The 13,377-nt window shown below is 54.4% G+C and overlaps 1 protein-coding gene across 1 annotated transcript, besides 3 other annotated features; it reads left to right on the forward strand.

Moving 5' to 3' along the window:
• The first annotated feature begins 141 nt into the window (after positions 1–141).
• DMRTB1 (DMRT like family B with proline rich C-terminal 1) lies at positions 142–8,231 on the forward strand. The gene is made up of 4 exons (NM_033067.3): positions 142–773; positions 2,216–2,388; positions 5,380–5,590; positions 7,338–8,231. Exons 1-4 carry the CDS (start codon positions 197–199, stop codon positions 7,403–7,405), a joined length of 1,029 nt encoding a protein of 342 aa, NP_149056.1. The 5' UTR covers positions 142–196; the 3' UTR covers positions 7,406–8,231.
• Positions 3,648–4,176: an enhancer, noted in NCBI's record as "H3K4me1 hESC enhancer chr1:53928578-53929106 (GRCh37/hg19 assembly coordinates)". NCBI's record gives its function as "activates a minimal SCP1, AML or CMV promoter by ChIP-STARR-seq in naive H9 embryonic stem cells {active_cell/tissue: H9 hESC(naive)}" and the evidence as "EXISTENCE:reporter gene assay evidence [ECO:0000049][PMID:30033119]".
• Positions 9,907–10,446: an enhancer, noted in NCBI's record as "H3K4me1 hESC enhancer chr1:53934837-53935376 (GRCh37/hg19 assembly coordinates)". NCBI's record gives its function as "activates a minimal SCP1, AML or CMV promoter by ChIP-STARR-seq in naive H9 embryonic stem cells {active_cell/tissue: H9 hESC(naive)}" and the evidence as "EXISTENCE:reporter gene assay evidence [ECO:0000049][PMID:30033119]".
• Positions 10,447–10,984: an enhancer, noted in NCBI's record as "H3K4me1 hESC enhancer chr1:53935377-53935914 (GRCh37/hg19 assembly coordinates)". NCBI's record gives its function as "activates a minimal SCP1, AML or CMV promoter by ChIP-STARR-seq in naive H9 embryonic stem cells {active_cell/tissue: H9 hESC(naive)}" and the evidence as "EXISTENCE:reporter gene assay evidence [ECO:0000049][PMID:30033119]".

Genomic DNA, 13,377 nt, shown 5'->3' on the forward strand with positions numbered 1-13,377 from the left:
CCAAACTGTGCACCCCCCAAAAGGAGGGAAAATGCAAGGTTCCTGCTGCAGTTCCCGGGACACACTGCGAGCCGCTTTGTTACAAGTGTATCCAATGTCCCCAGAACGAGGGACTTGTGGGGCGCGGCTCATCCCAGCGCCACTTGCTCTGCAGCTCCCAGAGGTGGTGGTTGTGTTACGAAGGCTGACCCTGCCAATGGCCGACAAAATGGTGCGCACCCCCAAGTGCTCGAGATGCAGGAACCATGGCTTCCTGGTGCCCGTCAAGGGACACGCGGGCAAATGCCGCTGGAAGCAGTGCCTCTGCGAGAAGTGCTACCTGATCTCCGAGCGCCAGAAGATCATGGCCGCGCAGAAGGTGCTCAAGACGCAGGCCGCCGAGGAGGAGCAGGAGGCGGCCCTGTGTGCGCAGGGGCCCAAGCAGGCCTCCGGGGCTGCGGCCGCCGCCCCCGCCCCCGTCCCCGTCCCGGCCGCGAGCCTCCGCCCGCTGTCCCCGGGGACTCCCTCCGGAGACGCCGACCCGGGACCCGAGGGCCGCGCGGCCGCTTGCTTCTTCGAGCAGCCCCCGCGGGGCCGGAACCCCGGCCCGAGAGCCCTCCAGCCGGTTCTGGGCGGCCGCAGCCACGTGGAGCCGAGCGAGCGAGCCGCCGTGGCGATGCCCAGCCTTGCGGGACCCCCTTTTGGGGCGGAGGCCGCAGGCAGTGGCTACCCTGGCCCCCTAGACCTGCGCAGGCCGATGCGGACCGTGCCCGGCCCACTGTTCACCGACTTTGGTAAGTCGTGGCCTTGGTCCCGCGGTCGACTCCCGGAGCTGGCAGCCCAGGCCAGCCCGGATGGGGAGCTGGCATAGGGGTTCGGGGTGGAGAGAAGTTTTTCCACGGGTAACGGACCTTCCGCTTTGAGAAACCCTTCTTCGAACAGGGATTTGGATTGGGTAACTTTTCGCAAAAAGGAAACGAGAAACAGAAAGGAATGGGCGGTTCAGAGGGCTTTTAACATTTAGCTGTAGTTTGTGCCATTCCGGCATGCAAGAACAAAATGGCGTCCAGTCGACTTAGCAGTGCTTCCTCCTCCGGGGGAGGCTTCGAGGAGCCGAGTCCTACTGCTCTTGCGCACCTCTTCCCGCCATTTCCTTGGGCTGGAGGCTCCTCCTCCAGAATAACAGAATTTTCCTGCCGGCACGTTAGCGCAAGGACGCCTGCGCACTCTTCCCTCCCGGTTCGCGGTCGGGAGGCTCCTCCCCTCAGCTCCGCCCTGGCCCAGTGCGCCTGCGCACCTCTTCCCTCCGTTTCCCCACGTGCAGGTGAGGGGAGCCTGCTTCTTTACTCCACACACGAGAACAGTTGGTCAGTAAAGATGTTGCCTTTCTTTTCTCCCTTCACCTTGTACATAAATTACATTGTTCCCTGTGCCTTGGAGCTTTTGGTATTGAAGTAGTTTCAAGTCACATGTACATTTGAAGCTTTAGAAGCCCCGGGGTTTGGTGCGGACGCGTTTTCCTGGTGTCTCCCCCGTGGTGGTGTGGTGGGACGGGCTCAGGCCGAGGCGGGGGCCCGGGTCACGCTGGACAAGCTCCTGCCCTCTGTGTGCCAGGGCACTGGTCCGGAGGCTCCCGCAGGCTCGTCCCGCCCCCCTGACTTTCCAGGAAAATCTAGGTCCCCAGGGAACGTCCCATCTGACAGGGTCACAGGCCTGAAACTGCAGATCTAGGAGAAGCCACCTTTCTTTTTTCCATCTCAACAGACAAGCAGGGCTGAGCCGAACCATGAGCCAGGCATTCGTGATGGAGGACGCGGGTCACATTTCTTGCCCTCAAGGACCTTGTCCTTGTGGGAGGGACAGGGTTGATCAAAGAGTCACACAAATCAGTGTCCAGGGCTTGAGCCATGGCCGGGTTCACTGTGACCCGGAGGAGGAGGAGGAGCTCGGCACTGAGGCCTCAGAGAGGCAGAGTGCGGGCTGACGGTGTGTGGGGCAGCGGGGAGGTCTGGAGGCGGCCCCGGCCCACAGCGGGCTTGATGGCCGTGCTGAGGACTTTCCAAGAGCAGTGGGGCTGGCTGGAGGATGGAGATGCAGTGAGGGCCCAGCGGAAGGAAGTGCGGGGTGGGCTTTCTGTGCTTGGACGGCAGCGCTGATGACCCCGCCGCCCTGGGCCGCCCTGCGGATGCTTTTCCCAGCGGTGTCTAACACTTCCCTCCTTGCTTGCGTTCTTTAGTGCGCCCTCTGAACATCAACCCGGACCGTGCACTGGGCCCTGAGTACCCTGGTGGCTCCAGCATGCACCCCTACTGCCCGTTCCCGCTGGGCTACCTGGACGCCCCTCCTGGCGTCCCCCTGCAGCAGGGCTTCCGGCATGTGTCCCGCAGCCAGTACCAAGGCGGAGGCTTGGTGAGTCCCACCCCTCACTTCTTGCCAGCTTCCTCCACCCAGTCTGCCCCTGCTGCCTTGATGGATCCTCAGTCCCAGGAAGCCAGCTGTCATAAACTGTGCCCACGCCATGCCAGCCCCCGAGTGCTGGTGGAGGACTAGGCACTGCCCAGGCACAGTGTGTGTGTCTCTGGGAGCACACGTGTGGACCAGTCTGCACCACTCGGCTTGGGCTATGGCCTGTGCTTTTCAGGGCAGTGGGCTGAAAGGCTCTGAGCGTTCAGGATGACCCCTTCCTTGACTGATGCTGATGCTAGAAGGGCCCTTCATTTTGCTGGACTCCAGAAAGGGCATATCACCTTCCTGGGACCACAAAATTTAGGGCAGAGCCAGGACCAGAGGTAGGCTCCCTGCCCACAGGTATAGCACACTTGAGACTGCAGAGGGCTTTCAGGAGGAGGTGGCATTTGAGCGGAGTCATGAAAAATACGGAAACCTTCCCCCAAACACTTGACACCTTAGGAAATACCTGTTGAAAGAATGAAATTTAATCCTTTTATAAGATTAATAAAGGTCAGTCGTTAGCTGGTATTCTCTGTAAGCTGGGAATTTTGAGAGCGAGTGTGTAAAGTCAGGTCATCCCTGTGGTGTGTACTACGAGGCAGGTGTGATTGAGTTTTATGGCCTTGATTACCAGCTCCTTCCAGACTAGGATGGCTAAAAGCCCCCTCTCTCCTTAATGAAAGTCATTAGCTGCACAGTGTGGAGCCAGTCCAATGGGGCTCGAGCTTCACCCGGGCAGGTTGGGCACACAGGTCACTGGGTCCTCACTCCTGCTTCAGCCTGGCGGCAGCAGCTTCTCTTCCACTTATCTTAGATGTTGTGAGATTGTGCTTAAAAATCATTTTCCACTGATTCAAGGGAAGAAAGTTTGAAAGCCACTGGCCTTGATAATTCCAGGGTGTCTATTGAACCTTCAAGGCAGGTATTATACCCCATTGTAGCATCGAGAAAAAAAGGCTCAGAGAAGTTAAGTTTTTGGCCAGGGTCACAAAACTGGTGAGAGAGAGACTGGGATTCCAGTTACACAGCTGGTTGGTGACAGAGCCGGGTCGTGCACCTCAGTCGCCCTGACTCTGGAGCCCAGGTGCTTTCCACTGCCCTTCCCTCCCTCCCACAGAGGTAGAACACACATGGCCCTTGACTCACACCAGCACTGCTGCCTGCCTGACATCTGTGGGCACTGCCCAGGGAGAGCCAGGCATCTCCAGCCTCCACACAAAGAGAGGGGCTCTGGCCAAGTAAAGCACGTTCCGTCTGCTCACACAGAAGTCTGGAGCCTGGCGTCCAGGGCAGCGCTCTGATTGACAGGCCTGCCAGACGGCCTTTGTTAAGAGTGTGATCTCAGTCGGTTTATCTGGGCCTGAGCTGCCACCACAGGCCCCAGGCAGGAGCTGTGATCCAGGGAGATGCTTGGCTGAGAAGCTTGGAATTAAAGCACTAATAATCCCTCTTCCACCCTCTCAAGTCTGGAGAGAGAATCAGGCATTGATTTGTGAGCTGTTTCAAACCCAAGAGCCCCTGAATCACTTTCATCCTTGTCCTGCTGCCCCCTGCCAAGGCTTGGAGGTGCTCTCCAGAACAGTTTCCTCCTTCCTGTTCCTGTCCCTGCCCACCTGCTGCTGCTTGGCTTCCTCTGCCCTCCTGTTCACAGGACAGCACTGGCCCTGGAGGTGGGCAGACCTAGGGTCCAATTCTGCCTCCCCCGTCGTGTCCCAGCCACGTGACCCGTGGCAGTTATCTGACCTCTGAGGACCTCACTCGGGTCTTGGTCTGTAAAATGGGAGTGAGAGGACCTATCTATTAGGGCTCCTGAGAATAGATAAGGCGATGCATGTAAAATACCTAGCACAGGGTCTGGCACATAGTAGGTACTTAAAAGTGAGATTTCTTCCCTTCCTGCTGGTTGAACGAAGTTAGGAAGTGCTGGGTTAATCTAAGGAGATTTTTGCAGACTCTTCCAAGCCTTTAATATGCTCATGTGTGACCCACTAATGTGGGGAGCAGTATATGGGGTTTCTCAAACTCACTTAACAAAGAACACTTTTAAGAGTACTAAAAAATACTTTGTAGGACACCAGGACTCCATGAAACTCAGCTCAGGATGTGTTGCTCTGAAGCATCTGGATAGAGAAGTGAATGACAGGAACTACATCCAAAACTCAGTATTATTTCTTACGACATTTGTGTGTTTCTTGGTTAAGCTCTGAGTTGTGCAGTCATCCCCTCTCCAGATCCTCTGATGGGGCCCTGTGCTGTGGTAAGGGGTTGGATTCCATCCCTTGAAGAAGGGACAGAAGCAGCAAAATGTTCATCAGTGAGGCCACTTGCCTGAAGTCACCCAGTGTATCTTGCCTCAGAAACAGCTGCGCTACACCCACATTGCCAACCTCTTCTCCCAAAGGCCCCCCTGGCACTTGAGTTTAAGTCACCACATGTGCCAGACAGGGGGTCCTGTGGGGTTGGGATGCGTTCAGACCCTTCCCCAGTGCAGAGCAGCGCTGGACAGAAGTCAGCTGAGTGGGCTATGGAGTCAGCCAACTTGGGATCCAGTTCTGCCCCTTAACCACAAAGCAGCTCTGCGGCCCTGGGCCTGTAGCTTCATCTCACTGAACCTGTTTTTCATAATTACAGCAAGAATAGTAATAGAACCCACCGCCTAGGATTCTGAGCACCCAAGCACAATCGCCCTGGCATATACAGAAGGGCTCTGTCACTGTGACCGTTCAGCTGTTCCCATGCTTATCTGAGGTTGCCTGTGTTCCTTCTTGCCTTCAATAATTTGGCAGGTGTTTGCTGAATGCCCCCTTCCAAATGCCCTGTGCCTGTGTGTTTGGGGCCGTGCATCTACCCCATCAGGAGCCCCCCACTTCAGGGGTGAGAGCTATGTTTGGTCAGCCCATCTGGCTAACTCTCTCTCCTCTCCGCCTCTCTGCTGTGTGTGCCGTGCAGGTGTCAGAACCAGGAGGAGACTTCCAGCCAAGCTACTACCTGCCGCCGCCGCCGCCGCCACTGCCGCCCCTTCCACCGCTTCCACCGCAGCCCCAGTTCCTCCCGCCAGGCTACCTCTCTGCGCTCCACTTCCTCCCCCCGCCACCGCCACCACCACCTCCATCATCTTTCTCACTGACCGTCCTGTTTGATACTGACAAGGAGAACACTGGTGAGTGAGCTCCAGTCTTCCAGCTTCAGCGAGAGCCAGGGAGACTTTCTGGAGGAAGAGGTACCTAATCTGAAGAAAGGTTAGGTGTGGAGAGAAGGGACATGGAATTTAAAGGGTGTTGAGCCCTAGAATGAGCTCCTTCTTACACCCTTCCTCCAGTCCCCATAGGCACACATCTAAGGGAGGTGGGAATGGGATTCCAGGTGAGGAAACCAGGGCCTCCAGCAGTTCTCTTGGGTATAAATGGCAGAGCTGGGATTTGAACAGAGTTTTTCAGTCTAGCTCCCAGTCTAGTGCCTGTTCACTCACCTTATTGGCTCGTGGGCGGTGCTGTGGAAGACAGCAGGCATATGGTGTGTTTGGAAGACCAGAGGTGCCAGGCCTCTCTAGCTGGGGTAGGGGAGCAGATGGAGAGACTGGAGCAGCAGCAGGAACCCGTGTGGTGGGGCTGTGCCTCTGCCCCAGGCCACTCTGAGGGAACCAGACCAGGAGCTAGAGAATCTGTCCTTCACAAGCTCTGCCACTGGGGCACTGGATGATCCTGGGCACTGAGGCTTTTCAACTATAAAAGGGGCCCCCTTACTAGGTTACTGTGAGGGTCGAAGAAACTTTTGGATGTGAAAATGTTTTGGGTTTTCTTTTGAGGGCCCTTGCAGCTTTAAAGCTTCTAGGACATTTTTCCTTTCAGTCTTCCCCTGGGGCTCCTATGATTTGGAAAGAACTGACAAACTCAACTAGGCCTTTAAAATGACTGTCAGACCATCTTATGAGCTAGAGGAGTCTGGTGGTATCACCATTTTACTGAAGAGGAAACTGAGGCCTGTTGCACACTTCCTGTGTGTGCAGTGCCTAGATCCAGTAGCTGGAGAGGTGGTTTCATGTGGCTGAAAACCACTGGCCCCAGTGCTGGGTGGCCTGGGTGTGAGTCCTGGCTCCAGCACTTGCCCAGCTGTGTAACTTGAGCAAGCTCATTTACTCTTTGGTGCTCCAGTTTCATCATGTGTAAAAGGAGACTAATAATGGTCCCTACCTCATGAGGATTCTGAGGATTAAACAGAACCTGAAGTGATGAAGGCATTGGTGAAGGTGGCCTATCACTGTCTGTTTCACTTAGTGCCCATGCTGCCATTGCAAGGTGGATACGTCTCATTTTACAGAAGGGGAAGCTGAGGTTCAGAGCTGTGGAGTATCTTGCTAATTCCTCCCAGCTTGTGACGAGCAGAGCAAGAGCTGGAACTTGAATCTGAATCACATGGCCAAGGCTAGGATTCCAGGCTCCTGGCGCCTAACAAGTTAAAGAAAATACATTCTCCCCTAGGGCTGGGAATGATGAGAAAGGCTTATGGAAAATCTGTATCTGGGCTGGGCACAGTGACTCACACCTGTGATCCCAGCACTTTGGGGAGGGTGAGGTGGGTGGATCACCTGAGGTCAGGAGTTCAAGACCAGCCTGGCCAACATGGGGCAACCCTGTCTCTACTAAAAATACAAAAATTAACTGGGCATGTTGGCGGGTGCCTGTAATCCCAGCTACTCAGGAGGCCGAGGCAGGAGAATTGCTTGAACCTGGGAGGTGGAGGTTGCGGTGAGCTGAGATTACACCACTGCACTCCAGCCTGGGTGACAGAGCGAGACTCTGTCTCAAAAAAATTAAAATAAAATAAGAAAAAAGAAAATCTTCATCTGCAAATAGGTAGTTGTAATTTTCGCTCTTTCTAAATCCAGCTACCTTCTTTGTCCTTCACAGATGACCAGGATGCAGAGGTACTGTCGGGTGAGCCCAGCCAGCCATCGTCTCAGGAGCAGTCCGACTAGGCCCCAGGCCCGCCCTCCTGGCCAGCAGAGTGGGGCACTGGGGGGCAACAGCAACAGTTTTCTTGTCTTCATTCAGTGATATGTAGGGAGGAAGGAGGTTGATAGCATAGATGGCAACTGATTCCCAGTTTAAGATAGGAGGAAGGAGAGCAATTTCTAAGTTTCAATCCTGCGCTGTACAGTTGAAGAAGAGTGTGGAGGAAGCTATTACCAGGGGAGGGCCAGGGCTCTGAGGAGTGGGCGCTGGGAGAAGCTCCCATTTAGGAATGAATTTAACTGTCCTTGGGTTACACTACCATTTATTGGAACAAGCCCCAGAGGCAGTATTTGATTTCCTCAGGCCCCACTCTAGGACAGGAGGCACCATCTATTTCAGCCTTCTGCTGCCTTTGCCTGGTCCTCCAGGTTGCTGGGGGCACCACAGACATCAAGATTCCAGTTCATCCAGGTGGCTGGAGCCAGCAGCCAGGACCAGGGTCGTTGACAGCAGGTTCTGCAGCATCCTGCCTTGCTGCTCTGTCCCCCACATCTTCCTGGCCACAGCCCCTTGCCCCTCCTCTAAGGGGTTTTACTAGCAAGCATCCTGGCTGCTGGGGCTACTTCATTCCCCCTCCATAAAGTTTCAGCCATTATGGGCACTGGTTTTAAAAAATTTATTAGTTTGACTATTTGATGTTTTTATAGTGATTGCCAACTTTAAAAAGTAGGCTGTTCATAAGCACTGATGCAGTCCCTAGGGAATAGAATGGTGCTTCTGATCACCTGTGACATGAACAGTTTCTTCTGTGAGGACAGTTGGCTATTGAAATAAAATGAGCAATGGAAATCCTTGTGGAAGGCTTATTCTCCCTTTGATCCTGGTGGAAGGTAGGGTTGGCAGGAGCCTGAGTTGGGGAGATTGGGGGCCTTGGTTTGTGGCCTGTGGCTGGCCTTGTCTGCACTTGCTTAGTTCCTATTTTTAGTTCCTGCCCTCCCTGTTCTACCTCCCCTTTCTTTATCAAGTGAGGGGATTGGGCCAGGCTAGTAGACTTCTTTATTATTACTGTTGTTATTTTAAGCAATGGAGACCTTTTAAGGAAATCTGATGTAGACACACAAAATGTAAAGATGTCTTAGTTTCCTTCCTCCAGCTCCTTCCATAGTCCCTGCATAGGAACATGCATTTAAAAAAACAGAACTTGAACCAATTCTGTTTTAGGGTCCTCGGCTTCTTCCATTGGTTGCATTTATACCTTCATTTAGAAAACATCCTGTGTTTCTACTAGATTCAGAACTTGACAGTTCCCAGCTCTGCCCATGAGGAACATGACATCTAGTGGGAGAGACAGAGAGTCTTAGGGGATTCATACTAGAACAGAGAGGTAGGGAGGCTGTGGGAGTGGTCAGAGAAAGCCTTCTGCAGGAGTCAGGGCCTCAACCACAACATAAGGGGCAATAATGAGTTAGGCAGAGAAGAAAGAGATGAGTACTCCCAGTAAGGATGCAGAGGAGGATGGGGACCTGGTGTGAAGGATTCCATGGTCAGGGCAGTGTCCTGTTCTCTGTCCAGGGAAGGGCTGGCACCCAAGAGAACAGGTCAACTTTACTTCCTTTTTTGCCTGTGGGCAGAGGTGTCCAGGCATCCTCCTAAGTCCTGGGATAGGTAGTGGGGGGATCATTGAGAAGTGATACCCTAACTATTCTCTTACGTCAGTGTGGTGGCTGGGGCCTAGGGCCTGGGCTTTGTTGGAAGGCACTGGAGGCAGGCACTGTCACAAGAACTTTTCAGTTACTGCTATACAGACATAAGAGTGTTTTCAGCAGGGCAGACCACGCATGCTGAGGCCTGAGGTCTGCAGGTCAGCACTGGTGTCAGCCTGGACAGGATGATGCGGTGATTTGGGACTACCCTGGCTTGGGGGCTGAAGCTATCACTTACCCCAGTGCTGGTCTTCCCCTTGGGGACCACAGTGCTGCAGGACCCTGAGAGGGTGGGAGAAGACATGCCTTTTGGTTGCACTTGACATCAATCACCATGCCCTAACTGAACCCCTGACCTGCCAGTACAGCAGGGTGGGGCTGGATTGGTAACCTTACTTTTTCTTTTTCTTTTTTTCTTTTTTTTTTTTGAGACGGAGTCTCGCCCTGTCGCCCAGGCTGGAGTGCAGTGGTGCGATCTCGGCTCACTGCAAGCTCCGCCTCCCGGATTCACGCCATTCTCCTGCTTCAGCCTCCTGAGTAGCTGGGACTATAGGCGCCCACCACCACGTCCGGCTAATTTTTATTTTATTTATTTATTTTTTTGTATTTTTAGTAGAGACAGGGTTTCACCATGTTAGCCAGGATGGTCTCGATCTCTTGACCTTGTGATCTGCCCGCCTCGGCCTCCGAAAGTGTTGGGATTACAGGCGTGAGCCACCGCACCTGGCTGGTAACCTTACTTTTTCATAACACTTGAAGTTTTATCTTAGACTCCACATTTTGAAAGATTTTCCAACCAAGTTGCACTACTCAAATAAAGCTGCTTTCCTGTTTCTGGTCAGCACACACGCAGAAGTATGAAACAGTCTCTGTGGCCACATGGACACCACAACTATTCCAGACCAATGCAAGGAAATGGGTTGTTTAGTTAGCCTGTGGGGAGATAGGAGGCTTTGGTCTTTGGAGAAGAGTAATGTCCTGTTGGAGGGGTTGATGCTCACACGACTCCAGGATGGGAGGATTTCTCATTTCCCCTGTAGGCCTGTGAGCTGATGAATCTCCAGAAATTGGTCGGCATCTTTCCTGGAGCCTTGGAGGCACCTGCTGGGGTGAAAAGACCAACTGGGGGTCAGGGGCTTGTCCCAGTGCTGCCCCCTGGCTTACTGGTTTTCAGGAAGGCCTGCCTTCCTACCTTTCCCCGGTATGAACCCCAAGTTGTGAGCACCCAGCCTGCCCTTTCCTGCCCCTGTGGGCTCACTGCGGTTACTTCCCCTGGTAGGTGGTAGACCCCTGCTCCCCGCAGCTTTGCCAGGCAGCCCAAGCCATGATCCCTGAATGCCCAGCTCCTCCAGGCAGGCCTCCAGCAGCAACAGCATGAGCACTGAAAAACCAGTTCTGCTCATGTTGCTGCTCTGCATACAAGCCCTCCGTGGCTCCTTCCTGCTCCCTCTGGCCGGACACGGTGGCTCACGCCTGTAATCCCAGCACTTTGGGAGGCCGAGGTGGGCGGATCACTTGAGGTCAGGAGATCGAGACCAGCCTAGCCAACATGACAAGACCCCATCTCTACTAAAAATACAAAAATTAGCCGGACATGGTGGCTCACACCTGTAATCCCAGCTACTCGGGAGGCTGAGGCAGGAGAATCGCTTGAACCTGGGAGGTGGAGATTGCGGTGAGCTGTGATCACACCACTGCACTCCAGCCTGGGTGACAGAGCAAGACCTCATCTCAAAAATAATAATAATAATAAGGACCTGCCTGCTGGCCTCTCCAGCCTCTCCCTCACTGGCTGGCCCAGCCCAGTTCCTGGAGGGCTTGGGGTCGTCCAGGTCCAGGCAGAAAAAGGATGGAAAGCCGAGAGACTGGCCGCCAGGGGCAGCACTCTTCATCCCAGATGGCCGGGATAATGTTCTGGAAGGCAACCAGCCGTCATTCCCTGACCCCGGTGCCCTGGCAGGGCGCCGCCGGGAGAGGGCGCGACGGCAGCAGTTGCGGGCGGGGCCGGGGCCTGTTGCCTAGGGACCGGCCTCCCACTAGGAGCATGTGGGCCGGTCGCTGCGCCTCTGCTCGCCGGGCTGGAGGAATAGGTTTCTGCAGCGGCGGGCTTGGAGCGCACCCCGGAGACTAGGAATTTCCCTCTAGTTTAGGCTATGCAATCGCCAACTTCAGCGAGTTGTCTTTGCGCAGCCCTGCCTGTGACATCCATGCCCTCCTAACTTTTCTTTAGACACCACCCCCATCCTCGTGTTCCATAGCACATTCGCCCGCTTTCTTTCCTTTCCGCACTTTTGCGCGTGGACAGTCCTCTGCCTAGACTCCTTCCAGCTTCACCTAGTCATCTATTGTCCTTTCAGACTTAGTTCCGGCGCCGGCTTCTTCAGGACACCGGGCCTCAGCCTCAGCGTGGGTTAGGAGCTCGTGGGGCCTGCCCTGCCCGCTGCTGCCTTCCGTCAAGGCCGCTGACCCCACTGAGTAGATGCCCCTCCCACAGGCCCGGGAACGTCCTGCAGGCAGTGGCAAGGGCTCTTAAGCCTCTGTCCCCAACTTCCAATGTGGGGCTTGGCCCTGGTTAGCCCAGTGCATGTTGCCAATGGATGCGTGAATCCAGGGCATGTGTGGTTTTCCGGGTGGAGGGTTCAGTTGGCCCAGCCTTTGGCCACCTACTGCGGTATCTTTTGCCTTACATTTTTGCTCTGTTTGCTGGGACATTACAGAGGGGTCAGAAAGTCAGCTTTCGTTGAAACTATACTGTGTGCCAAGCCCTGCATTCCTTCCCTGGTTTAATTCTCACCACGACCCATGGAAGGGTTGCATTATCATCCCCGTTCTAGAAAGTGGGGCACACACAGGGATGGAGATTTGCCCGAAGTCACACCGTTTGTAAGTGGCAGAGCCCCAGGTATAATAGAAGTGTGGACAAGGGTGTGCAGAGGGCAACATGGGTCCCTGGGCACCAGTTACGGAGTTTTTAATATCCATTTTGCTTTGAGTTGCCATCCTGGGATTTATTGAACACAGAACCCATGACGCGCCCTAGTTTCTGGGCAAATTCAGGCGCAGCATGGGGAGTGTGGCCTAAGGGCATTTACCTCCTCAACCACTGCCCACTCCATTCACCATAGCATGCAAGGCCCCGAGGGAATCCTAAAGCTGGCATCATGGTGAGTCAGCAGGAAGAGCCCTCAGGGTCTCAGGTATAACGCCCCAGTCCACCAGAGATTTTCAGCATCTCTGCGGCTTGAGCTCCTGCTGTGGCCTAGGCTTCACCATGAGCCCCACTACGTGAGATGAGATTGGCAGAATGCTTGCTATTGTGGCCAGGATGGAGCAAGGTGAGGAGGGGTATTTTCAGAGACAGGTTCTCACTCTGTTACCCGGGCTGGAGTACAGTGGTGTGACCATGGCTCACTGCAGCCTCAACCTCCCAGGCTTAAGTGTCCCTCCTGCTTCAGCCTCCGGAGTAGCTGGGACTACAGGCATGCCACCATGCCTGGCTAATTTTTAAATTTTTTGTAGAGATGGAGTCTCACTATGTTGCCCAAGCTGGTCTCGAACTCCTGGGCTCAAGCAGTCCTCCCGCCTTGGCCTTCCAAAGTGTTAGGATTACAAGCGTGAGCCACCACACCCAGCCCACTTTTCTGAGGAGAGTGGGGTAGAGGTACTCTGCTCCCTCTTGGAGACAAAATGTATCCTCAAGCCATGGGGGGAGGGGGGGATGAGGTCCTCTCCTAGCAGTCCTGGAGATTCTCACAGCTCCTTCCACTGCTGGGTGCTATGGTCTTGGTGGGCCTGGGCCTAGGCTCCTCTTCCTGAGGTGCTGCGTGAGCCAAGGCCTCCTCTCCTTGGCTAAGGCTGGGGTCTTTGGACCTCGCTCTTCTTCCTTTTCTCTTCCTAGCTGTGTATTGTTGGGCTCATCATGTAATTTTTCCAAGCCTTACTTTGTCCTCTGGTAACATTGGTTCAGTGGTGCTCTGAGGATGCAGGAGTGCTTGTGTGAAACACCTTCTTTGATGGCACCTGTGTCATTGGATGCTTGAAGGCAGTGACCTTTTTGAGACCACGTCAGAGGCTAGAAATGACCAAGGCTCTTTACTTCCTGGTGCTCCCCACATTCCAGGCACTGTGCTGAATGCTTCCTACGCATTCTGTCTCTGAGTCCTCAGAGTGACCCCTCAGGCAGGCACCAAGTACCTCATCTTACAGATGGCAAAACTGAGGCCTACAGAGATTAGATTTTCCCCCTCAGTTGCCCTGTCCATAAGTGGCAAATTCAAGTTCCACCTGAGTGC

The sequence above is a fragment of the Homo sapiens genome, chromosome 1 (genome assembly GCF_000001405.40).
Source record: "Homo sapiens chromosome 1, GRCh38.p14 Primary Assembly".
NCBI classification, from domain to species: domain Eukaryota; kingdom Metazoa; phylum Chordata; class Mammalia; order Primates; family Hominidae; genus Homo; species Homo sapiens.

Bases quoted from the DNA above. Each gene is read 5' to 3' on its own strand.
- DMRTB1 (NM_033067.3), top strand. From the start codon at position 197: ATGGCCGACAAAATGGTGCGCACCCCCAAGTGCTCGAGATGCAGGAAC. The intron at 774-2,215 runs GTAAGTCGTGGC...TGCGTTCTTTAG, and splicing joins CCCACTGTTCACCGACTTTG to TGCGCCCTCTGAACATCAAC. The intron at 2,389-5,379 runs GTGAGTCCCACC...TGTGCCGTGCAG, and splicing joins AGTACCAAGGCGGAGGCTTG to GTGTCAGAACCAGGAGGAGA.